The sequence below is a fragment of the Homo sapiens genome, chromosome 10 (assembly GCF_000001405.40).
Source record: "Homo sapiens chromosome 10, GRCh38.p14 Primary Assembly".
Classification (NCBI taxonomy): domain Eukaryota; kingdom Metazoa; phylum Chordata; class Mammalia; order Primates; family Hominidae; genus Homo; species Homo sapiens.
Window position 1 is genome coordinate 28,146,634 of NC_000010.11, and position 26,171 is coordinate 28,172,804.

General features: G+C 38.7%; 1 protein-coding gene across 17 annotated transcripts in view; it reads right to left on the reverse strand.

Moving 5' to 3' along the window:
- MPP7 (MAGUK p55 scaffold protein 7) overlaps positions 1–26,171 on the reverse strand; it is a 284,211-nt gene that overhangs the window by 95,641 nt on the left and 162,399 nt on the right. For all 17 annotated transcript variants that reach the window (NR_134518.2, NR_134517.2, XR_007061944.1 and 14 more), the window contains 2 exons: positions 3,349–3,426; positions 850–930 (listed from right to left, as the gene is read on the reverse strand). Coding sequence is in view for 12 of the 17 variants with exons in the window: in XM_047424647.1 (XP_047280603.1) it covers positions 850–930; positions 3,349–3,426 (159 nt within the window). In the remaining 5 variants the exon portion in view is untranslated. The remainder of the gene's footprint in view (positions 1–849; positions 931–3,348; positions 3,427–26,171) is intronic.

Here is a 26,171-nt window from a genome sequence, read left to right on the forward strand (position 1 = left end):
AAAGCTATTTCTCAAAAAAAGTAGAAACTAGTTTTTACATCTAGGAAGAAATTTTCATTCAACACTCTACATATGCTCACCAGTAATCATCACAAGCTAAATGATCATTTTAATTATGTAATTATGTAACCTATATGTAATTCTGACTCACAGAACAATATCTGACACATAATTGCCCCAGCGTCAAGTCCAAAATGTATACAGTGCAGGATTTAGTGCAGTAATGACTTCAGAATAATGTAGGAAAATTCTGAAATGCCTGCTGTAAACTGATCACATTTGGAGGAAAAATAAGTGATAAACTTAGGAGGCAATGGAAAGGGAGAATTGAAATCTGTCTGCCAATATTTTATGGGTATTTTACACTGGAAAAGTGCTCTTCTCTGTAAAATGGAATGACATTTTGAAACATAAATTAGTAAAGGGACAGGAAATGGGGAGGTGAAAGGGGAAAGAAAGAGGAATGCTGAAATGACCCTATAGAAAAATAGGTATGTTTGTCAAACATATTGGAATCCCATTAACTACCCAAGTAAAATGGACCTAAACAAAATTACTAGTAGGTTCTGTATAGTGTACTCTTAACTTTACTTAAAACAAAAATGACCTTGAAGCTACATTTGACAGAACTTAAATTCTGAGCTTCCCAATAAGAGTATTTTGCAGTTTCTCATCACATTATAATCAAAAGCTCGCCTCTTTCTCATTAATAGGATTTAGGCTATTAAAATACTGTGCCCTATTCAAAATACATTTACTTGAGAATTGATGCTCGAAACAAAATTCATCTGAAGGCTCAGAAAGTGGCCCTGTTTGAAGGTATTTATTACCGGCGTAACATGTCCTCACCTTCACATTGGGTTTTGACAGTAGTTTCAACAGCTCTCTGATCTCACTGTTTAATGGCTTGTTCTGAAGCTCTTCGGCCAGCTGCAACGGAGATTACATTGACTTAAAGAACATTTAGTAAGAGCATTGTGGGATTGGGTGTGTGACAACTGAGAATCTAACTTGCTCAAGGCTATTACTTTCCAATGTTTAAGGAGAGGTCAGCATAAAAGAAAACAGATCATCAATCATTGCTCTTCTTTTTAGACCTTCGGTAGTCCAGATCCGAGCCCAGGCTCTCAGCTGAGTACAAATCAAGTAATCGTATCAGCCAGATCACCTTCTGATTTATTGCAAGGAGGGCAAACCCCAGCACTTCGTCCATGTGAATGGTCTTTTGCACCTAGACAAAGGACCACTTGTAAGAAGAACTGGATAAAGCTTTGACACTGTAACCTCCCCCAACCCCCACAAAAACAGAGCTTCTGAATGAGGTGGTGAAATCCACAGGGTTTCCAAAAACCCATGGGGATTCCAAAAACCCACAGTAGCTGTGCTGTTTAGAGCTAGGGTAAAAATAATTAGAATGCCCCTAATAGAGCAAATGGCCTGAAACTTTTATTATGTTTACCTATACAGATGAAGAAATCTGTTAAATACCAACCAATCATAGTACCAATTGTAAAATGAGCTATAATGGGTTGACAGCTAGCTACCCTGGTACCAAAAATGCTGACTGTACTCTACTATAATAACCAAGAATTCCCATTTTGGGTTCTACATAAAGAAGGTGTTACAACTTCAAACCTGCCCCATATCTTCCATTAAGAGATATTCCTATCAAAATTCCCATTCAATTTTAGGCTATAGGAAAGATCTCATAATTTTCTTTAAAAAAGCAAGACTCAAACAGGAAAAAAGATTAGAATTATGAAATACGTGGCATATGTATAGATGCATTTTTATTTAAAAACCCGTCTTAAAACCTTGCATGAAATTTCCATTTGCCCCTACTTTTTCTAACAAGCTAAAAATAATTGCTCTTATCTCTGGAAAAGGAATTTTCTCTAAAAGAAGGGCATAATATAAATTGTACACAAAAAATAAAATCATAGAAAATTATACAGTCATTAATTACCTTTCAAACACTGCTTTACTTTTTTGAGGTAATATTTCTACAGCATTTTTAACTTACAAAAAGACATAAAGGTCATTTGCACACTTTAGTCACTTAAAACATAATATATTTTAACATTTAAATATACTGCTCTGACAAATTATAAGATACTATGGTTTATCATATTTATATAGCAGTCTCTAACTTTTTATAAAGGAATATTTTTGCAATATGATTGGGCCACAACAACATTGGTTTATAAACAAATGTTTCCCAAAACTCTGAATAGTAAATGTTTTAAAACTGATTTTTTAAGGCTTTCGTGCCTTACTTGAGCAACTGTATCTACAACTTTATTTGCCTTCATTTAAAAAATTTTGCTTCAATAATGCAGAAGTAAGCTTCCTCATTAAATATATACTGAAACATACTTGTAATCTTTGTAGATAAAAACAAAAAGAAAAATGGGAACTAAACAAATAGCACGCAACTTGCAAATTTATTACATATGTGTTTTTTCTAAATTAGAATGCAAAGTAGTTCAAATAAAATCAACTTCTCAAGATGGCCAATTTTTTAATTATATTATGGCCTGGATATTTTACCACACTGAATTATATAGCTTGTCTTAAAAAATAAAGGAAAGAAATATTAAAAGCAACAAATAAGCTACGGGTTATCACTAAAACCAGCCTTCGCACTAAACATATTTCTCTTCCAGCTTCATGTCCTTTATAGTTTATCCAGGTGTGTTCTCAATTCATCCGAGTCCGAAAGTTAACAGTAAGAATCAGCAAGTTAGTTACCTTCCCCCAAGTTCAAAATAAAATTATAGCTACAGGAAATTAACTACTCCATCAATGCCAACTGCTTCTAAAATTTATTTTTTGGTTATGAAGGTAATTTGGAAAAGTCTAATATCCATAAATCATTACTATGTTTTATAATCCATTATAAAAACAATCCTGTCTTTTTATGTATTTCATATTATTTCATATGCCTCGTTCGTATCCTAGTATCTGTCATTTTTTAGTACTGTCAGCAATAGAGCTATCTCATTTGTCTTTATTTCTCCAAAGCATTCCTCTTGTCTGTGACTTTCTCAGAACACCAACAGCTGACAGCTTCTCTCTCTCCAGAGTTTAAAGCCTAAAATGTCTATTACGAAGTTACGAAAGCAGAACAAGAGAGTAGCTACATGCAAAATTTTTAGAACAGAAAAGTGAATGGAAATCAACATAATATTAACATAAGCTCAGTGATGACAGGACTTTTGGAAACATTTGTAACCTCTTCTGCTTTTCACTCATAGGATCACACGCATCTGTCTGCACTAGGACAGGTTCTGCCTGGGCCAGGTCTGCAGCAGACACATCCCAGTGAGCTCGGAGAGTCACACTTACATCATCGGCCAAGGCCGCCGCACCATGGAGAATGGGCACCGGACTCTGCTTCTCATAGTAGTGTAGTTTTTCATGAATCTGGAAGAAAATCAAATGCATATAAGTTCACCTGCTAGCAAACAATCTCAGATAGCTGCACATTTTTATACTTGAAAAGAGAATCTGAATCCTTGAATATCCTAAAGTTATATGTTTATGACATATTACACACATGTAATATGTTTGTACATGCTAATATAAACCCATAGGTGACACGTATGTGTGCCTAATTCATCTATTACTATGGCCCAGTGTTTACAACATGGAGTCAAATGGAAAAAACAGTCTTAATCAAACAGAACCCACTTGAAAACTAAGTCTTTGTCTTTCCCCTCAATAAGCATGTTAAGTTTTGTGATGTCTATTATATCTAAAATCTATTGCTGCAATATTTCAAGTATCAGTTGCAGCTTATATTCCTGCTAAAAATGTAAATTATGATTAAAGCAAAGCAATAAACTGTCAGCCACATTTTGGCAGGTTGGTATGGAATCACTGTCAAGAGGGAAGGAGCTGGCACTATTTGTGCCTGGGTGCCACATCCAGGAACATCTGCTCAAGCACACTGTTCCTTTTATTATACTTATTCATTCTTTTTTTTTGAAATTGCCAACTTTCCCCCTCAACTTCAAATTTCTAAGAAACGAAGGGATTTTTCATAACTAGTGGCATTTCTTATAATTATTTAGCATAAATGAGATCATTTTTCATATTGTAAAATAATTATAATAATAAATTTTAAAAAATTTAGCCCTTCATTTCCCATTATTGTGACCCAAGAAACACAAAGGCAAGAATCTACATAAATCCCATGTAAGACACACTGAGTTCCTTGAAAAATCTAGCAGAAAGTTGAGAAACAAAAGACGTGTTGACAAACACATAACTGTCAGCACTTAAGTTTCATCTATTTCAGCTCTTGTGTAGGTGTCCTTTCATATTTTATACTTGAAAACTCACTTTAGTCTCTTTTTATTTATAGTTGAAGAAAAATGTCCCCCACCATATACAAAAAACAGTTGCACCTCACAATTTCCTGTCTTTAACAGGTATCAAGTAATACACTCTTTAATTATACTCAAAGCTAACCAAACTCCATTGTAAAAGTCTGGAAGATAAATTTTATTCTGATTAGCCAGATGCTATTGCTAAGAGAGGATTCTATTACCTTTTTGGCAACCCAGTACACAATGTAAAGCTTCAGGGAAAGAATTTTGACACTTATGATATTACCAGAATGATCAGAGCCACATTTTTACTTAACATCTTGGAAATTTTAAAGATGTATCATAACAAGGTAATAAACTTTAAAGACTGTAAGCTATAAAAAGAGTTAGATTTGATTTGAGAAACTATGAACATTTAATTTAAAACAAAAACCAATCATACTGAGCTAAATTCACTTTGTTTAAATAATTATCGAGAATTAAGACATCTCAACATATAGTATCACAGAATACTTAACTTACCCTATCACAAAACTCATCTAACCTGACTGCAGTTACTTGTTTAAATGTCTGCTTCCCTGCTATAATAAACATAGAGACTTATTAAGAACTTACCAGGTGCCTGTACTACCCACCTAATAGGTCAGTAATACTAGTAACATAGTCTTTAATGAGTTTAAAATTTGAATTCCTCAATTCTCACAAGAAAATAAAGAGGTAGACAGCGGGACCATCTCATTTTACAGATAAATAGGAGTTAAACAAGTTGCTATGTTCTTGCAGACAGTAAGAGGCAGAGCTGAGATTTCAAGCTCAAGCCATCTGGCTCAGTGCTGGAGCTCCTAATCACCCACTTTTCCTCTCAGACTGACATCTCATCTGTGTTCTTCACTGCGATCCTTGGCTGCCTAATGAATATGGCCAGTTTGTAGGGCATAGAAAGGAAGGCTGGAAAGATATATAACAAATCGCAGTGACTGCTTCCACTGACTAGAGGATCATCAGTGGTTCCTCTCCATCCCTTATATTTTCTTTCTCATTGGTGGTTCCTCTTCATCCCTTGTGTTTTCTTTCTGATGGCTTCCAATTTTCCCAGGTTAATTTCTATGAATACTCTAATTATAACATAAAATTATGTGCCTCAAATAAACACATTATTTCTCCACTTCATTTGCTTCTTCTGAGCGTCTTTCACAAATAGTCAGTTTCTCTTCCATCATCTTCTCCAGATCCTGACCCAATTGATAGAGTATCCCACCCCTAGCCTGCCCACTCCTGGATTTTGTGCCATATCAAACATTTTTTAAATGTTCTAGAATTTCAAAGTTCTGGTAACCCTGTGTTGCGTATGTGTTTTACTTTACCGCATCATTTTAAAAATTAAGTTGGTAGGGGAGTAAAAATTTACTCTAAATAATTTTGAGCTGTTCACTGTTTCCAAAAATATTGACAGAAATTCTGCTTTTTATTACTATTTATGATAACCAAAAGAAAAAAATGATTTTTCAATTCTAATAAACAGGCAACACATATAGACTTCACCCCAAGGCTATCCAACAGAACTGCCTGTGATGGTGAAAATGTTTTATAGCCGTTTGCCCAATATGGTTAGCCACTGGCCACGTGTGGCTTTTGAGCACTTGAGCTGTGGCTTGACTTGAGGAACTGAATTCTTCATTTTATTTAATTTTATTTACTTTACATTTAAATACCCACATGGAGCCAGTAGCCTTCTTCTTGGAGAACATGACATAACTTTATGCAGTCTATAATTTCTCTTTATATCCCAGAAAAATTTACTCTGATACAGGGTGACAAATTTCCCTAAGTGGGAACATTTGGGGATCTAGTAGACAAATATATAACCAAAGATGTGGCTTCATCATCAATGAGCAATCTAGCATCAATTATTAAGTATCAGGTGTAGCCAAACCTGCAAAACCTCATTTATTTTAACTACACATTTCCCTTTGCAGATTCAAGACATAATAAAAGTACACTTCAGACCGAGTGTGGTGGCTCATGCCTATAATCCCAGCACTTTAGGAGGCCAAGGTGGGCAGATCACTTGAGGTCAGGAGTACAAGACCAGCCTGGCCAACATGGTGAAACCTCATCTCTACTAAAAATATGAAAATCACCCGGCCATGATGGCGCATACCTATAGTCCTAGCTACTCGGGAGGCTGAGGCAGAAGAATGGCTTGAACCCGGAAGGCGGAGGTTGCAGTGAGCCGAGATCTCACCACTGCACTCCAGCCTGGGCTACAGAGCGAGACTCCATCTCAAAAAAGAAAACAAAAAAAAAGTATACTTCATTTTTCTCCCCTGAGCAACTGGAAGAGGAGGAAGCAGAGAAGGAGATGAGGGAGGAAAGGAGTTAGGAGTAAAGAAGTCTGGAGAAAAGGGGAAATCTGGTTAAATTAATTTTATATAACAGTTATTCAAAAACAAGATCCTAAAAGTCAGGACACGCTAAAATATATTAAATGCACTATTAAGAAAAAAGGACATTTCAAAATCTATATACATTATGCTCTATGTATATGTCCATAAGGGTTTTTTTCCTATAATTACATTTGTAATCAGAAAACATCAGTAAAAATAAAAATAATTTTAATATGTAAGCAGTTCTCATAAGGAAGCCATAGTTACCTTCATTTACATACTTCCTAAAAATAAATGTTTAATTTTAGTGAGGAAATCTGTTTTACTTACACATACAATAGAACTTTTAAAAATAAAGCTTCAATAATTAAACTATGAATAAAGTACCCCCCAATGCAGTCATGTGTTTTATACCTGTCAATGATGTACAGACTCCACCATGGTCATCTGCATTACATTACATTAAGTAAACTAAAGCTGTAATCCTTTTATTGGCTTCTATTATGAGTACAAAAAAGTACTGAAAATTACTGCCCAGTAGTTTGACTCTTCAGCATGTTAATTAATGGTACCAGATCTAGAATTAGCACATGCATGCATACACCTATCTACCTCCATATTTTAAATACTGGGGGTGGGGAGAAGATTCTGGGTACTAAAAAAAGAAAATCCATGGGACACGATCCTTTCAGAAACATGTATTTATTTCTGATGCATGACCTTGAAATATCACTGGCCACTTTGCTAACTTTACAATGTAGGACTTGGTGGATAAAACTCTCAAATCCTAAGCCATGGACCAACAAGTCCATGGATGGTTACAAACTCTTAAAGCAGACTTTCTTTTGTTCCTACCTAATCCCAGGAAGAGCCAGACCAGCTTCTTTGTCATCTCCCTAGTAGTTTAAAGTTTTCTCATCTTCCCACTCACTAACAAAGTAGCCCTAGAAAAGTAGCTATTCTGTGTGTGTATATCATAAAGCCTAAAAACTTGGAGGCTGTACCTTTGCTCAAGCTACACAGTCAGAAGTAAAAATGTAAAGAAATAAAGCCTTCCCATAGGAATCGCTGGGAGCAACTGGTACTTTGCCTTCAATTCCAGCCAGGGTGTTTGCAACATCTCTACACAGATGCATAATTCTTATAAGGAACATGTCTATAAAGTCTACAAAATACAAAGCACCAAAAACCGTTTTTAGGCTTAAATTAAATGATTAAAAAGCAACAAACCATCAACATTTTCATTTTGGTTGAAAATGTAGTGATACTATTTGAAACCACTTCTCAGAACATTTTCTACAGATCAAATTCCTTTAGTTCCCAGAATAATGTTCTAGAGAAAGTAGCCAGGGCATTAAACATTTCTTTGGAAAATCTGAGTTAGTTGGGGTGGGGGGTGGTGGGGAAACTTGAATTCTCCAATCCAGAGATATATAATCTGTCCCATTTTGAAACAACCCCAAATTTCTACATACATTTATTTTTCACTCCCCACATATTACAATTATGAGAGCTGCCATTCTTCAAAAATCTGTATTTCAGTAATTGTTTTTTTTTTCCAGTAATTGTTGATGAAGTGGGAACTGTTAAATTTTTGATCAGATAGCTGTTACTGCAGATGATGTCATGGAACTCAGACAGGTTTCAACATACAAGTAGCAATCAATTACCTTGTATACTTGTTTGCAGTTTACATTTTAACAAACATTAAAACTGTAATTACAGCTTAAAACTAGTTTTGTAACAAAAGATGGAATGAACCGTCTTAAAACGTGGCGAGTCTGGGATCTATGGCTAGGAGAGTTCATGTGTGACTCAGTTGATTCATGAACTCCTGAAAACTATATACAATTTGTTTGCATGCATTTTCTAGGAAAATACCCAAATACAGATGGGTGATTTATGCTAAAGGACTTAAGACTTTATTCAGTAAATAAATAAATAGCCATTAAAGGCCAAGTGCGGTGGCTCACACCGGTAAGCCCAGCACTTTGGGAGGCCAAGGCAGGCAGATTGCTTGAGCCCAGGAGTTCAACACCAGCCTGGGTAACATGGTGAAACCCCAACTCTACAAAAAATACAGAAATTGGCCAGGCATGGTAGTGTACACCTGTAGTCCCAGCTACTCGGGAGGCTGAAGTGGGCAGACTGATTGATTGATTGAGCCCAGGAAGTGGAGGTTGCAGTGAGCTCAGATTGTGCCACCACACTCCAGCCTGGGCAACAGAGCCAGACCCTGTCTCCAAAAAAAAAAAGAAAGAAAAAGAAAAAGGCATTAAAGAATAGGAGACCCTTGGGCCAATTTGTGCTTCACTCCATTTTCCTTGGACAGATTTGGGGAGGAAGGGAGGTAGCAGGTAAGACGAGGAACAGAAAACCTGTTAGGAGGATATTGTGCTAGTGGTCAGAAACTTAAAAAAAAAAAACAAAACAAAACAAACAAACTGGTCACTGCTCAGTGCAGATGACTTTGGGGTTCCTCAGGTTTCCCTTTCTTTGCAAACACAATGGACTTAAGCAGTTCCATCTCCTCTCAGCAGCCACCACACTGCCTCTATCCCCAAATCTGTTGTGAAATCAGATGTACTCTTCCAGCTATTGTTTTCCTTGCTGCCTCCAAGATAAACATATAGGCCCATTGTACGTTAGAGATTTAACTGTTATCTCCATAGAGAAAAGGAAAAGCACTAAAAAAAATGAAGAATTTATAGTATTTTCACAGTTTTAAAAGATGAAGTATCAACATAATTTACTGAGAGTCTTGAAGTCAAATACATGAGTTTAAATCCCAATTCCGCCCCTTACTTATGCTTAAGCAACTTATTTAACTTTCTATGCCTTAGTTTTCTCATATTTAAAACAGGATAATAATCGTATCTATTAACTAGGGTTACTGTGAGAATGAAAGTCACCATTAAAAGAGTTTCACGCAAGTTCTGGAAAATAGAAAACACCTAATAAACAGTATTTATTTCCAATTCCCCTGCTCGCTTCCACTGGTGTTCCTAGTAAGAGGAGATTCTCGTCTCCCTTTGACTACACCATGTCGTGTATACATATGATACAATCAAGACCTAAAGATCAACATCAAAGATTAATCGGTATCACCTATATTCAAGAAGAGAATTTCTGAGGTCACGCAACCAAATGCCATCTCTATTGACATTTCTTCAAAAACAGTCCAAGTAAAAAGAGAAGAGGACCTGAACAAAGGGCTAATGGAAGCCTGGATGGACACAGGAAAGGCAGACAGTAACTGTGACCACCAGATACGGACACAGGAAAGGCAGACACTAACTGTGATCACTGCAAGTGGCAAATGATGGAAAGGGTGCAAGACCAAGCTGAGAGTATCATAAGGAGGTTTCCTGGAGGAATGAGGGGTGTGATGAAAAACCTAGATCTACATGTTTATTAACAGGTTCAAAAAGAATCTGTCTGGACGCACCCACAGCTCTAGCTGCCCTGTTCCCAAAGAAGAAAGTTCTATCTTTGGTGAGAAGACAGAATGAAACCCTCACACAAGAAAAAGTGTAACAGTGAGGTGGAAAGATTCTTAGAAAAAGAGTAATCGGCCAGGTGTGGTGGCTCACACCTGTAATCCCAGCACTTTGGGAGGCCGAGGCAAGAGGATCACCTGAGGTCAGGAGTTCGAGACCAGCCTGGTCAACATGGTGAAACCCTGTCTCTACCAAAAATACTAAAATTAGCCAGGTGTGGTGCAGCGTGCCTGTAATCCCAGCTACTCGGGAGGCTGAGACAGGAGAATCGCTTGAACCCGAGAGGCAGAGGTTGCAGTGAGCCGAGATCATGCCATTGCACTTCAGCCTGGGCAGCAGGGCGAGACTTGGTCTCAGAAAGGAAAGGAAAGAAAAGGAAAAGGAAAAGAAAAAGAGTAACCGTCAGAGTCACTTCAAAGACGATACAGGGCTAGCTATCACTGTTGTCAGCTCTCATCTGTCTATCATTTGGGAATCCAAAGACCCTCTGCCCACAAGCCCAAATTCTGTTGAAATTAATAAGGAAGCTCACATAATTTTGAGATGAGCTAGGATCTGGTTAGGGAATGTGGAGTGTATTCCAATGTGACTGTATGGAAAATGACTATTAGACAGGAATCAGACTTTATTCACAATGGAAATACCCAGCAACCATAAACTGGTTGTCACTTCCTTATTTAAGCCCTTTGGTGGCTTGCCATTGCTCTTGAGATGAAGGGCATGCCTGCCAATGCACTTGAAACTCAAGCCTGTTCTGGGGCTCTGCATGCCCTGGACCCTGCAGACTTCCATCTCAAGCCATTCTCCATCAGGTTCCACCCACAGGGACCTTATGTTAGACCCTCAAGCACCCAGAGTCTCTCCTACCTCAAGGCATCCTCTCTGCCTGCAATGTTCCTGAGTCTTGGGGGTACCCACATTCATCTCTGAGTCTTAGCTAAAATGTCACTTACACACAGCTTTTCCCAACAGTCTTACCCAATCAAAACCAGTTCTCCTTCATTATTAGGTCTGATGGCTTCCTATTCTTTTTGTTCACTATCCTTATCAGACTTTGTATTTATAGATTTATCATATTTATCTGTTTACACCCCCATCGGTAAGGAAATTCATAGATCAGGGACAATGTCCCTAGAGTTCACCACCAGATCCCTTGCTCATAACCCAATGCCTCACATAAAATAGATGTTAAAACGTTATTATTAGTTAGTGATAAGTGGACATATAAATCCTCTAATCCTGCACAGTTGGTAACACCCTGGGATCACCGTGGAAGAGGATGATAAATGCAATGATTTTCTTCTTGCCCCAAAACTGATGACTAGTCCCCAAAGCTGAGGAAAAAGAAGTGTTAAGTCTCATGTTCTAAGAAAAACTCCAAACAGCTGAAACATACACTTCTCTAGACTCAAAGAGATGGGTGAAATGTAACCATCAACTATCTTCTATCTGCCACTTCCCAGAATGTGTGTGTGTGAAATTTATATATGAAATATAAATTTCATATATACATACATACATAGGACTACAGAGTGGAAATTGTCTTACGGAAATAGGAAAAGAGGGGACAGCCGGCAGGGGGGCCCACAGCCTAGTGAAGAGTAGAATAATGGAGGTAAGTCTCTGAGACAATCCCTCATAGAGAACAGGGGTACAGAGAAGACGACAGAGGACAAACTCTAGCTCCTATGCAGGCAGCAGACTAGCTGATTTTCCTTTCGTGTTTCTCTAATCAAGGTGACAAGGGAAATGAGGCAGGATGGCAGAACAGAGAGAGGGAACAGTAGAGGCCGACAGTTGCTTGGCCTACAAATGATGCATGAGTTACCTACAGGTCACATGGACCCCACTGAAAGTAGTTGGGCTGGAGCCACCCTGCAGATAATCCAGCCTACAGCACTACAGGAGGTTTTGGGTTACACAAGCCATGCACTGTAAGAGAAATGCAACATTTGAGCACTTCCACAAAGAGTAAGAATGCTGGTCAGTGCTGGCCTGAGAAGAGGCAATAATGTGGCCAACTTCTGTCTCCCTGTCCCAACACAACAGAAGAACTGGATCTCCTTTCAAAAGCAAACCGATCCATCTTGCAAAGGGTATTGGGGGAGTAGGGGTAAAAGGAGAACACACTATCCCCCATCCCCAAGCCAACTCCCCTACCCCTGGCTGACACTAGGGACAGGAGGAGGTGAGACTCAGATCAGAGATGACCACAAAGGAATACTAAATTGAGCTTTTAATAATTGAAAATGTCCTGGAAGCTACAGACTGCCAGAAATTTTGTTAAAAGAGATAGAAAAGTTAGCTTTGATGTAACATATTTTGATGCAGTGATTGGAGAAAATTAAAACTCCCTCTTTGAGCACTGTTTGATTTGTTGTCTAGAACAGTATAGCCCAATAGTTCTCAACTTTTTTGGTCTCAGAACTCGTCTTAGTTTCTTAAAATTCACTGAGTATCTTAAAGAGTTCTATGTGCTTATATCTACTGATAATTTGTAATACTGAAAATAAAACTAAGAATTTTTAAAAATTTATTCACTTAAAATAACAATAAATGTGTTAAAATGACATCTTACCAAAAATCAGTATATTTTCCAAAATAAAAGTTTTTGAAGAGTGGCATTGTTTGACAAATTTGTAAATATCTTTCATTTCTGGCTACAAAGGAAACAGCTGAATTCTCCTATCAGCTCCTGCATCCTATCTACTGGGACACGCTGCTTTGGTTGAAGTTCATGAAGCAAATCATGCCTCCCACAGACTTGCAGTTGGAAGAGAGAGGAATATGTTCAGAGCCTCTTTAGCTAAGTGTAGATACTCACTGATACTACACCAAAACTCTGCAGCTGATACTTTCTTAGAGGTGAGATGCAATGTGGACCCTGCAGCTGCATCACTGGGCTTTCCATATGCCTTTACATTACAATCCTTGTTTTCTCTTGCATTCTACATGGCGCTTACCCATGCATAGTTTCATGATATTATGCATTGATCATTTGGAAAATACTGCTTCACTAAGTTATGCAGATTTTCCAAACATTTACACATTTCATGGTACAACAACAAAAAGCCACACATTAATATCACCACCAATCTCATCAAAAAAAGTTTTTAAGTACTAGAAAGCTGGCAATCTCAGAGTGGCAGAGACAAGTTTTTCAAAATTCTAATACTTGCTCAAAAGCTTGAATTTTATTCATTGGCAACAATACAGTTTGTTGTTGGTTTTTTAATGACAGGCAAACTTTGATCATTAGAAAAAAAAAAAAAAAGTCTTCCAAACACCACAATCTGCATAGACACAGTTTCTAATGGTTTCCTATGAGAAAAAGAAACTAGTTTAGTTCACAATCTCACAATCCTACAGCTACTTGTCCTCTGCTAACCAGAACTCTGGTTTGCAGCCAAGTGCTTTCTGAGTATTCCCCTCTTCCTTCTAGATTAAAAAGACTTGACAGTAAAGAGATGTGTACCATGGTTAAGATTTAATGCAGCCAACTATTCTTGATTGTGAGTGTGCCATGGTGAAGAACATGACAACTCACTAACTAGTACCACTTGGTGCCATGGCCTTGGTTTGTGTGACAGCATGAGCAGTTTTACCCATCAGTATTTTTAACCATCAGTACAGATGCCAACTCAGTGAAAAAAGCAAACAACATCATAATATTATCAGGAAAATAGTTTAGACCTTGAAGAGCCTCCCCACAAAATAGTCTCAGGGATCCCCAGGGGTCCACAAGCCACACCTTGAGAACCACGACTACCTACTATCTCTGAATACATGAATCTAACAAATAAAAGGAAATCTAACATTTCTTTGTGGCTGCAGAACTCATGGTGAACTATATGACTTTGGTATAGGAATATTAATACTTTTTCCCTTACAAACACGGTCTTCTGAATCTGGCAATTTACCTGAAACCACTGGTCCAGGCTTGTGATGTGTGTGACTCTCAGAACCAGGTGTTACTTTTCTAAAAAACCATGATTTTGAGGTCTGAAAAGTAGCTTTGGGGAAAAAACTAGTATATTTTTAAAGAGTTCACTTAAAAAGAGACACAGAACAGGTTTTAGCATTTCATGAAACTGAAGTTTGCTCAATCCCTTAATGTTTCATTATTCACATTTTTTCCAAAGTTCTGCCTTTCATGCTTTTCATGCTGGCTGATTGCTGCCACCGTTAGCGCATTTAAACCTCAGCGATTTATAACATGGTCCCAGACTAAGAAGCTCTGGCATTGGCCCAGTGCTGCTATTATCATCTTCTTTTATTTATGGCACTATTTCAAAATCGTCCTTTCACACACTAACATACATTTTTCATTTACTTTCATGCACATTTATGTTCTAAAATGCTACTCTATATTGCTGCTTTGTATAATAACATAAAATGTAATTTGCTTACACTGCTACCATCACAGCTGGGATATTTTAATGCACTCAAATATATACTGTAGCATGTCCAAAAAACAGCGTTCCCCACCCCCTCCCACCCCCCGCAGGTTTTATATAATACACTGCTTCCATTCCCTTCTTATTCCTGGCAGAGTTATCTAAAATGTTTTTCTTCCTATGAAAAACATTTTTTGCTATGAATTCTTTTTTCAATAGAACATGAAAGCTGCTATTATACAAGAAGCTTTGCAGGCATGAATAATCAAATATACCCCTTGGTCAGTAAGAAACAAAAACTTGTAATCATTTTGCATGTAAGAATACGGTCCCTAGGTGGAGAGAGGAAATTCAGACCGAAGCTAAACATTTCATTCCTATTCCTAAACAACATTTCCTACCACCTCAAAGCTAAACATCCTCGATTTCTGAAGTCTAAGTGAAAATATTCGCAATTTATTTTTAACATAAAATAAAACCTTTATTTTCTAAGAAAATTATTTCCCCAACTTTTCACTCAATAGAAAATTCTAATTCAAATAGATTCTAAGTCCTTAGAATCATATGGCTATACGTTAAAACTTATTTACAGAAAGGAAATTGTAAAAATTGTTATGCCTTTCTTCTAGCTTTTAAACAATCTCTTGGTTCATTCCAACAGATAGGTAAAATCTGATTACTTTCAAACGGCAGATGGTTAATACATTCTTATTGATATAGTTTACACACCCAGAAAATCCAAGTCACAATTCAGAAAGCAATTGAATTCAAATCTGTCAAATTCTACTACTCTGAAATCCGGCTGAAGTTTCCTCTCAGATCAGCTATAACAAAGCACTGCTTAATAATAAAACCTAAATGAAGCTTTGGACTTCAGGGATACAAAGACAACTCTCTGAAGAAGCAAAGGAAACACTGTTTTCCATCAAATTAATATTTTACATGTGGAAATATCAACAATTCCACTAAAGGTGGGAAGAATTACCTTGAAAACACAGAACAAGGCCTTGCAGTTTCAGATGGTGAACTGAGCCCACGAATTGATCACACACCCTACTCAGAATCCCACTGAAATAACCAAATAATATACAGTACAAATTTTTTTTAATGCATGGTAATAGCAGAGAAAAATGCCACCCACAGGTCAGGAGACTCTGAAATATTTCTAAAAAAATACAAAGATAAAAATACTATGAAAAGTCTATCTGAATCATCGTATTCTTCTATACTTACCGGGAAAGAGAGACCTGCTTAGGAAAGAAAGTGGACAAGTATGGCCACCAAAGGACCAAAGAACTCCAAGTTCAGAGAAGCAGAGGTTCAGAAAAACAGTGGGGAGCAGGTTATTAATTCGTTGTTCAATAGTCATCTACTAGGTGTGCAGCAGGCGGCCTCTAAAATGGCTCCCAAAGATTCTCCTTCTCAGGACTTACTTCCTGGTGTCATCTTTTCTCCTTGTTGGGGGGTTGAACCTACTGACTTGATTCTAATGAATTGAAATATTCAGACAAAAGTGATGGGAGGTCCCTCCTGAGATCAGGTTATAAAACACCGTGACTTTTGTCTTGCAGGTACATGCCTAAGCCCCCTCCATATTCTTTCTCTCACTCTCTCTCTCTCTTTCTCTCTCTCTCTCTCATATCTCTGCTTCCATTTTTGAATCTCCTTCCTATGACCCTCCTACTTCCCCGTTACACAGAGCTTGTGATTACATTGGTTGGACCCAACTGAATAGTCCAGGATAATCTTCCTATCTCAAGGTCCTTAACGTCATTACATCTGCAAAGTCCCTTTTGTCATGTAAGGTGACACAGTCATAGGGTCCAGGGAGAAAGACGTCTTGAGGGTAGTGAAGGGGTGGAGGAAGGCATGAATCCACCCAGCACACAGCACCTCCAATCCTCCCTGTGATCTGGTCTCTCTTTCCTGTCTGAACACATCCCTTCCTCTCCCTCCATTCATGACACTCTGGCCACCTTGCACTTCACAGTGTCTTGAATCTAGATCCAGAGCCTTTCCCAACTTAGGGACTTTGTACTTGCTGTTCCTTCTGTCTCCAGATCTTTAAGGCTGACTCCTTGACATTAGATCTCAATTAAAATGTCACCTCTTCAGAGAGGTCTCTGTGATCCCATCTTACTATCTTACCTATTCACCCTTACTATTGCTTTCACAGCACAGTACCATAGAAGTTGTCTTGCTCACTTTTTATTTATTTAACATAAGTTCTCTCAGAAAAGAGGGCTGCCCTGGTTTATCATGTTCACACCTATACACCCAGGGACCAGGATAGGCAAGAAACTTAGTACATACTCAAATATTTTCAAATAAATAAATCAGGTTAAAAAAATAGTACTTGGAATTTGACTGCCTGTAGTGGGAGAAAGAAGTGTCTGGAATGAGTACTATATTTTGGCCAGGCACAATGGCTCACCCCTGTAATCCCAGCACTTTGGGTGACCGAGGCGGGTGGATCACCTGAGGTCAGGAGTTTGAGACCAGCCTGGCCAACATGGTGAAACCCCGTCTCTACTAAAAATACAAAAATTAGCCGGGCGTGATGGCAGGAGAATCGCTTGAACCCAGGAGGCGGAGATCGCAGTGAGCCGAGGCCGCGCCACTGCACTCCAGCCTGGGTGATAAAACTCCAGAGCTCCATCTCAAAAAAAAAAAAAAAGAATGAGTATTATATTTCTATAAAAACCAGAGGAACGATGCTGCCATTTACCGAAACACAGAAGTCTGAAGAAGTAGAGATCAAATGTAGAGGAGATACACTGAGCATAAAGGCTTGTGAGACACCCACGTGGAGAAGTGGGACAGGCAGATGATGATATAGGCCTGGCTTTAAAAAGAAAGATCGAGACCGAAGACAAAGATTGGGAGAGTCAGGGGATGTAAATGGTAACTGAAATGAACTGAAGAGAAAGAAATCACCCAGGGAGAACCGACTGTCTGCAGTTTGAGAAGGGAAGCAGGGTGGAGGAGAGGCCCAGGAGACCTCCTGAGAGGGGAGGGAGAGGGATAGGAGACCCCGCAGATGCTGGCATCTCAGAGTTCTGGGAAAGCGCTTTTTAATGGTGAGCTCACCATGAGGTAAAATGAAGGTGTTCCAGAACTGAAATAGCACCTCTTCACACTGTATAGCTAACTATCCACTATTAGGCTTTTCTTGGTGAGAACTACTTGGTAGCTAAGTGGAGGGCTGCAACAGGGGACTCCAAACACAGGTAGGTAGAGAAGGCAGGTAGTCACCCGATAGAAGCTTCCATTAAAAAAGTGTGGGTAAGCGCTCACTTATGAATAATGTGTACACATGGACAGTGTGGAATAATAGACCAAGAGTGTCCAACCTGTGGCCCATGGGCCACGTGCAGCCCAACACAAATTTGTAAACTTTCTTCAAACATTATGAGATTTTTTTTTTTCAGCTCATCAGCTATCATTAGTGTTAGTGTTTTTTATGTGGGGCCCAAGATAATTCTTCTTCTTCCAATGTGGCCCAGGGAACCCAAAAGATTGGACATCTTTGTAAGAGACATTGGAGACTCAGAAGTGGGGCAGGGCTGAGGGATGAAGAATAAGAAATTACTTAATGGGTAAAATGTATGTTGCTGTTTGGGTGATGGTTACACTAAAAGCCCAGACTTCACCACTATACATATATCCATGTAATAAAACTACATTTGTATCCCCTAAACCTAAATCAAAACAGAAACATGGGGGAATTATGAGTTAATGAATGGCTTAACACAATAATGGCATTTTGAATGCCCCTGGCCAATATGGTGATTCTCTTCGCCTCACTAATACCTATGGCTCCAAATGAACACAGAGATCCCACCGTTCCCAGCTGCAGCAACAATAATAGAGCATGTGGTGTCTGGGTAATGGCCCCCAAAGATGTCTGCATCCAAATCGCCCGAGCCTGTGACTATGTTACCTCACATGGTAAAGGGACTTTGCAGATGACTCTTTAAAATAAAGATATTGATTGGGCACTGTGGCTCACTCCTATACTCCCAGAGCTTGGGAAGTCAAGGCAAGAGGATCAGTTGAGGCCAGTTTGATATCAGCCTGGGTAACAGAGTGAGAATCCTATCCCTATAAAGAAATTTTTAAAAGTTAGCCAGGCATAGTGGTGCCCACCTATAATCCCAAATTCTCAGGAGTCTTAGGTGGGAGGATTGCTTAAGCCCAGGAATTCAAGGCTGCAGTGAGCCATGACTGCACCACTGCCCTCCGACCTGGGCTATAGAGTGAGACCTTGTCTCTAAGAAAAGGAAAAAAAAAAAAAAAAGAAAGAAGCCTCATTCTCTGCTGTATGGACCAGATGACTTTAGCCTCAAATATTTTAAAGGCAGCCATGATAAGTTCATCACATCAAACCTGAAAAAACATGGGCATGACATCTTCCAAAAATCATTTTGATAAGCACTGACTCCTGTCAGGCCAATTAGAATAAAAGTAAAATTTAGAATTTAGTGTCCTGGCCAGGCGTGGTGGCTCACGCCTGAAATCCCAGCACTTTGGGAGGTTAAGGCAGGCAGATCACCTGAGTTCAGGAGTTCGAGACCAGCCTGGCCAACATGGTGAAACCCCGTCTCTACTAAAAATGCAAAAATTAGCTGGGCGTGGTGGCGCATGCCTGTAGTCTCAGCTACTTGGGAGGCTGAGGCCGAAGAATCGCTTGAACTCCAGAGGCAGAGGTTGCAGTGAGCCAAGATCGCGCCACTGCACTCCAGCCTGGGCAATAGAGCAAGACTCATCTCAAAAAAAAAAAAAAAAAAAGAATTTAGTGTCCCACATGGTCCTGAAGGTGCTTATCTTCCAGGCAAACCAACAAATGAAATTTAAATCCTGATGTACCTTAACTACATAACATCCTTAATAAAACTGTATAATCTAGTCAGAGCTTTTTTTCTACTCTTTTATTCTTTATCTTATATCATTCAGTACATAAAAGAGCATGTAAGCATTTTGCATATTAATAAGTTATAATTTACTAGGAACATCTAGGAACCTACCAACAAACCATCCACTAGAATAGTACAAATATTTTACATCTAACCCTGTGTGCCCCTTTCCCCTCCAAACTCCTCCATCCTCCAAGAAATAACCATTACCCAGATTATTTTTTACCTTTTAATTTTTTTTTTTTTTTTTTTTTTTTGGGACAGAGTTCTGGTCTTGTTGCTCAGGCTGGAGTGCAGTGGTGCAATCTCGGCTCACCGCAACCTCCACCTCCCAGGTTCAAGTGATTCTCCTGCCTCAGCCTGCCAAGTAGCTGGGATTACAGGCATGCACCATCACACCCGGCTAATTTTGTATTTTTAGTAGAGATGGGGTTTCTCCATGTTGGTCAGGCTGGTCTCGAACTCCCGACCTCAGGTGATCCGCCCATCTCGGCCTCCCAAAGTGCTGGGATTACAGGCGTGAGCCACCACACCCAGCCTTATCTTTTAATTTTTAAAAAAAATCTGGTCTTACAACTCTTGTGTGAATGTTTCAACAATATATTGTTCTGTTTTGCTTGTTTTTGAGCTTCATAAAAATGGTATCGAGCTGTAAGAACTTTTCCAACACTTGCTTTTTTCCCCCTTCAACATTACGGTTTTGGAGATCACTCATTTTGTTCCATATTCTATAGATCATTTATTTTTCACTGCTACATAATACTTTGTTCTGCAGAAAAGCCACAAATTATTTACCTATTTTGCTATCAATAGATATCCCAATTGATATAGCTTTTCTGCTATTATGAACTCTGCTAGTGGGGCCGGGCATGGTAGCTCATGCCTGTAATCCCAGCACTTTAGGAGGCCAAGGAGGGCGGATTACTTGAGCTCAGGAGTTCGAGACCAGCCTGGCCAACATGGCAAAACCCCATCTCTACTAAAAATACAAAAATTAGCCAGGCGTGGTGGCATGCACCTGTAATCCCAGCTACTCGGGAGGCTGAGGCACAAGAATCACTTGAACCCAGGAGGTGGAGGTTGCAGTGAGCCGAGACGGCACCACTGCACTCCAGCCTGGGCAACAGAGTGAGGCTCTGCCTCAAAAAAACAAACAAACAAACAAACAAACAAACAAAACACTCAAAAGAACTCTGCTACTGAAACAGAAAGCCAAACTGCATGTTCTCACTTATAAGTGGGAACTAACCACTGGGTACACGGGGACATAAAGATGGGAGCAACAGACACCGGGCCTGCATAAGCGGGAAGGAAAGCAAGGGAACAGCGTTTGAGAAGGCCTATTGGATACTATGTTCACCATTTGGGTGACCGGCTCAACAGAAGTCCAAGCCTCAACATCACACACCATATCCATGTAACAAACCTACACGCGTACCTACTGATCTAAAATTTAAAAAATAAATAAGTACTTGGCTGATAAAAAATATTCTTGTAAAAGTTTGCTGGTATATATATATGGAAATGGTTTCCTCAGATAAATTCTCATGAGAAGAATTGCTGGGTCACAGGATATAAATATTTTTACGTTAACATCAAATGTTTTCTAAAATGGTGTTATCTATTTGCACCCCACCAGAATAACATAAAAGTTGTTCCACATACTCACCAATACTTGAGATTTACAGATCTCTTATATTTTGCCAATCTAGAGGACCTAAGTGAATAGCTAGCTCACTGTGGCACTAATTTGCAACTCATGCTTACTGGTTAGGTTATATTTTCTAGGCCAGGCATGGCAGCTCACGCCTATAATCCCAGCACTTTGGGAGGCCAAGGTGGGCAGATCACTTGAGGTTGTAAGTTTGAGACCAGCCTGGGCAACATGGTGAAACCCCGTTTCTGCTAAAAATACAAAATTTAGTCGGGCATGGTGGCGCATGCTTGTAGTCCTAGCTACTCCGGAGGCTGAGGCTCAAATCGCTTGAACTCAGTAGGCGGAGGCTGCAGTGAACCTAGATCACACCACTGCACTCCAGCCTGGGCAACAGAGTGAGACTCTGTCTAAAAAAAGATTATATTTTCTATATCTACTGGCCCCTACATGTTTCTGATGTTTTCTACCCGTTTTCTCTTAAATTGTTTTTTTCACTCTTTTGTAGATGTGCTTTCTATTTTCAGGAAGCTAAACCTTTGTCAATTATATGTATTACAATTATCTTCTCTCAAATTACGGCTAGTTTTTTCACTTATTTATGGGACACCTTGATGAACTGAAGTTCTTAGCTTTAATGTGGTAAAATTTTCACACCAATTTTTATGGTAAGTCGAAAGATATTCTTTTACCTCACCTTCTTTTTTTTTGTTTTGAAACAGAGTCTCGCTCTGTCGCCCAGGCTGGAGTGCAGTGGTGTGATCTCAGCTCACTGCAAGCTTCGCCTCCCGGGTTCACACCATTCTCCTGCCTCCACCTCCGGAGTAGCTGGGACTACAGGTGCCTGCCACCATGCTCCGTTAATTTTTTGTATTTTTAGTAAACACGGGGTTTCACCATGTTAGCCAGAATGGTCTCGATCTCCTGACTTTGTGATCTGCCCACCTCGGCCTCCCAAAGTGCTGGGATTACAGGTGTGAGCCACAGTGCCCAGCCTCTTTTATCTCATCATCTAAGAGTTTTCAGGTTCTGCTTTTCAAATTTATATTCATAACCCATCTAAAATTGATTTTGGTTTATGATGTGAGGTAGGGATCCAAATCCATCCTTTTTTATATGTATAAACTATTTATTTTAGCTTCCTTCTTTTTCTACAGTACTGTCCCAGTTCCATAGACTTACAAGTCTGTAACAAGGAGTTCTTTTGTTCCTTTGTTCCACCTGTCTACTCCCATGCCAATACCATGCCATCTTCACTATTGAGACTCTATGATAAAACTTGATATCTAGTGGGAAGAGCACCCCCTATGCCATCAGGTGTGGGTTGGCTTGTGGTGACACTTTGCTGGTATCTATAATCCAAAGCTCTAAAACACATTAAACCACTAGCCAGGCATAGTGGTCCGAGCCTATAATCCTCACTACTTGGTAGGCTGAGGTGAAGGGATTGCTTGAACCCAGGAATTCAGGACCAGCCTGAGCAACACAACAAGACCCTGTCTCTTAAAAAAAAAAATTAATTAGCCAGGAAAGGTCCCCAGCTAATTAAAACAAAGGTTGATATGGGAGGATATCTTGAACCCAGGAGTGAGGCTGATGTCGGAGGTTCTCTTGAGCACAGGAGTTCAAGGCTGCACTGAGCTATGATTGTACCATTGTATTCCAGCCTGGGCAACAAAGCAAGACCCCATCTCTTTAAAAAAAATAATTAATACACGTTAGATAATTGCCATCTTTACAATACTGAGTCTCCCTATTTGTGAACAAGTATCACTCTCCACTTGTGCCTCAGTAAAGTGTCATAATTTCCTGCATGTAAGCCTTGAACATTTTTTGTTAAATTTTTACCTAGCTAACTCATGGTTTCTGCTGCTATTGTAAGTAGGGTTTTTTTGTTTGTTTATTTCATTTCCTGTTGGTTGCTGGGGTTAGAAACACAGCTGACTTTCATATACAGACCTTGCAGTCAGCCACCCAGCACTGACCACTCTATTAACTAGTATGTAGATTCCCGTTGGGTTTTCCATACAGAGATAATCCTATCACCTGTGAATGACAGTTTTGTTTCTTTCTTTCTAATCCTTATCCCCACTCTCCCTTATCTTGCAACGGTGACTAGGATCTCTATTCCAAGATTTTTTTAAGTGGCGATAGAAAGCACTTTTTATTTGTTTCTTATTTTTAAAGGAATGCTTTTCATTTTTCCCCATTAAGCATAATAATTACTATAGATTTCAGTAGATATCCATAAGTTTCCTCCTTTTCCTCCCATCCTATTATCTAAGAGTATTTTTCTTCTTTTAATTAAAAAATGAGGGTGCTCAAAATATTCTAGTTCTGCCTTTATGTATATACATATATATGTTTCTATTTATGTATATGTTCTGTTTATGTATATGTTCTGTTTTGGGTATATTGTGATTCCTGAGTCTGTGGTGTCATGGGTCTTCTCCAGTTCTAGAAAGCATGTAGTCATTATCCCACAAATATCACCTTTCCTCTATTTTCTCTTTTTTTTAATTTTTTTATATAAAGATGGGGTCTTGCTATGTTGCCCAGGCTGTTCCTGAACTCCTGGGCTCAAGTAATTGTTCCACCTCAGCCTCCCAAAGTGCTAAGATTACAGGGGTGAACCACTGCATCCAACTTCCTCTATTTTCTTTATCATCGCTGCCTGGATCCCCAGTTGAGCACACATTAGACTCTCTCATTCTAACTTTCTTACCACTGGGAATTTCTTTTGTATTCTCTATCACTCCTTATTATTACATAATTATAATATTTATAATATATAATTATACATGTATTATTATTATATGTCTACTTTCTTGTTCTTCAGATAATTTTTGAGGTCACTAATTCTTTTCAGCTGTATCTAATTTGCAATTGAAGCCATTTGATCCACTGAGTTTTTTATTTCCACAATTAGATTTTTAGAAGTTCCATTCACCACTGAATCTGTCGGTTTCTTCCCAATGCCCATTCAATGTTCATTCATAGCTCATCTCTGCAACAGCAACTCATATGTCTTCATTCATTTCTTCCCTTTTAGCCTCAGACTTAGGTTACAATTATAGAAAAGTATCCTCTCACATGACGAGATAACAGTGATAGAATAACCATATCAGTATATCATATAATAGTTACATAAAATCCTACACGCTCTGAGGAATAGCTTTATACAACTTTAGCATTCCACAAATTGTTCCAAAAGGTAAGTTTAATTATAAAAATTCTCAAAATGTCACACTACATCCAAAAACACAAATTAATAAGTGTCTATTAGGTGTCGAGTAATGTGCCCTGTCAGCATCGAGGGTACAGAAAGGACAGACACACCTTCAGTCCATATCTTCTTAAAGTTTATAGTATACTTTGTGGAGGCGTTGACATTAAACAACTAATTACATTGTTTTAACTTGCTTTTTAGCCAATTTTCTCAAAAAAGAAAACAAACATGTTCTGTGAGCAAAAGAAAATGAAAATTAATGAAAACCAGAAGAGGGAAAGTAAAGAAAATTTTTCTCTCTGCCACCTTTACTTCCTTTTTATTTTTAACCTCAGAATTCTATGCTGTGGGAAAAGTCTATTTTCCTTACAGTTTTCTATTTTAATAGCTGCCGGTTAGTCTTGGTTGCCAATATGGGAGGGAGGCCATACCATGGGGTCAACAGCATTTCAAATGAGCCCAGAGATTTTAAAAAGTGAAAATATGCTAAACTCACTGGAAAGAGAAACTATAATTTCGCTGAGTCTTCTCTACACATTTACTGAACCTCTTTCACGGGTATGTTGATAAAAGTTTATGCTTGCAACCAAACTTTTTAAGTGTACCGTATTTGAAACTTGGCAGGCAGTTCTAGTATATTGCAGAATCCTCAGATAAACAAATCAAGGGTAACAAAAGCACACCCTCTGTGTAAATGTGGATTATGGTATCAAACGCCTGCACTTCTCTAGTTTTGTTCATTCTTTGTATAGTCTTTCTACACAGCAGACTTTCTGTAGTTTTGTTATGTCTTTACTTTTTGCTCGTGCCATGTTCCAAAGAGAAGAGGGGAGGATGGATGGGCTCTTGGTTTCATGCAGTTATTCAAAAGCCGAGCTTCTTTCCATCTAAGCAGCTCCACTATCCCCCAGGTCCTCATAGTCTTTCCCTGGATACACTGAATAATGTTGCCAAAGCAGCAGTCATCACTATCCCAGCAGCACAAGAGCCTGTGCTAACGTCTTTGCAAATCTCACAAACTGCCAGGTCTAGGATGATGCAATGTACTTTCATTGGCCTACGGAGAAGGACGATGTCATGAACTTTGGCAACACATTTTCATGAAGTTGCAAGATACCAAATCTAATTGTCCTATTAATTTCAAGAGGATATTTTACTAAAATGCCAGGTAGGACCTCAACATACTACAGATTTTTAAAATTCAGCACAAACAAATACATTGTTAAGTAAAATACGTGATTTAGAAATAGGTACTGTTGGAATGGTACGAAAAAATCTTAAAAACAGTCAGACACTATTCAATCCTCTCCCACTGCTGATTTATGTAGGAAGGTTAAACAGCTCCACGTGGCACACGCCGAAGTCTTATTTCATTCTAGACACTTGGTCTACCCTAAACATACATGTATTGTATTTCTACTCCCGAAGGCAGTTACTGTGGAAATATCAAGACTCTACTACACCGACTCAGACTGTGGGTGTAAGAAATATTTGACAATGAGCGGCAGCAGAAAGTTGATTTTCCAGCTAGGACAAAATAATGTTTTTCATCAAGTTCCAAAGAAGAAAGATAAATCTAATAAAGCATGAAAGAACTCGATATCCAAAAAAAGACTTTCTGAGCTATAGAAATTACACCGAGCTATAGAAATTACACCAATTACACTAATGATTGCTTCTCGTGTATCTAATTACACATTTGCCAAAAAGTGAGTCAGACAAGCAATAAATTAGTCTTATTCTCAATGTTTTTC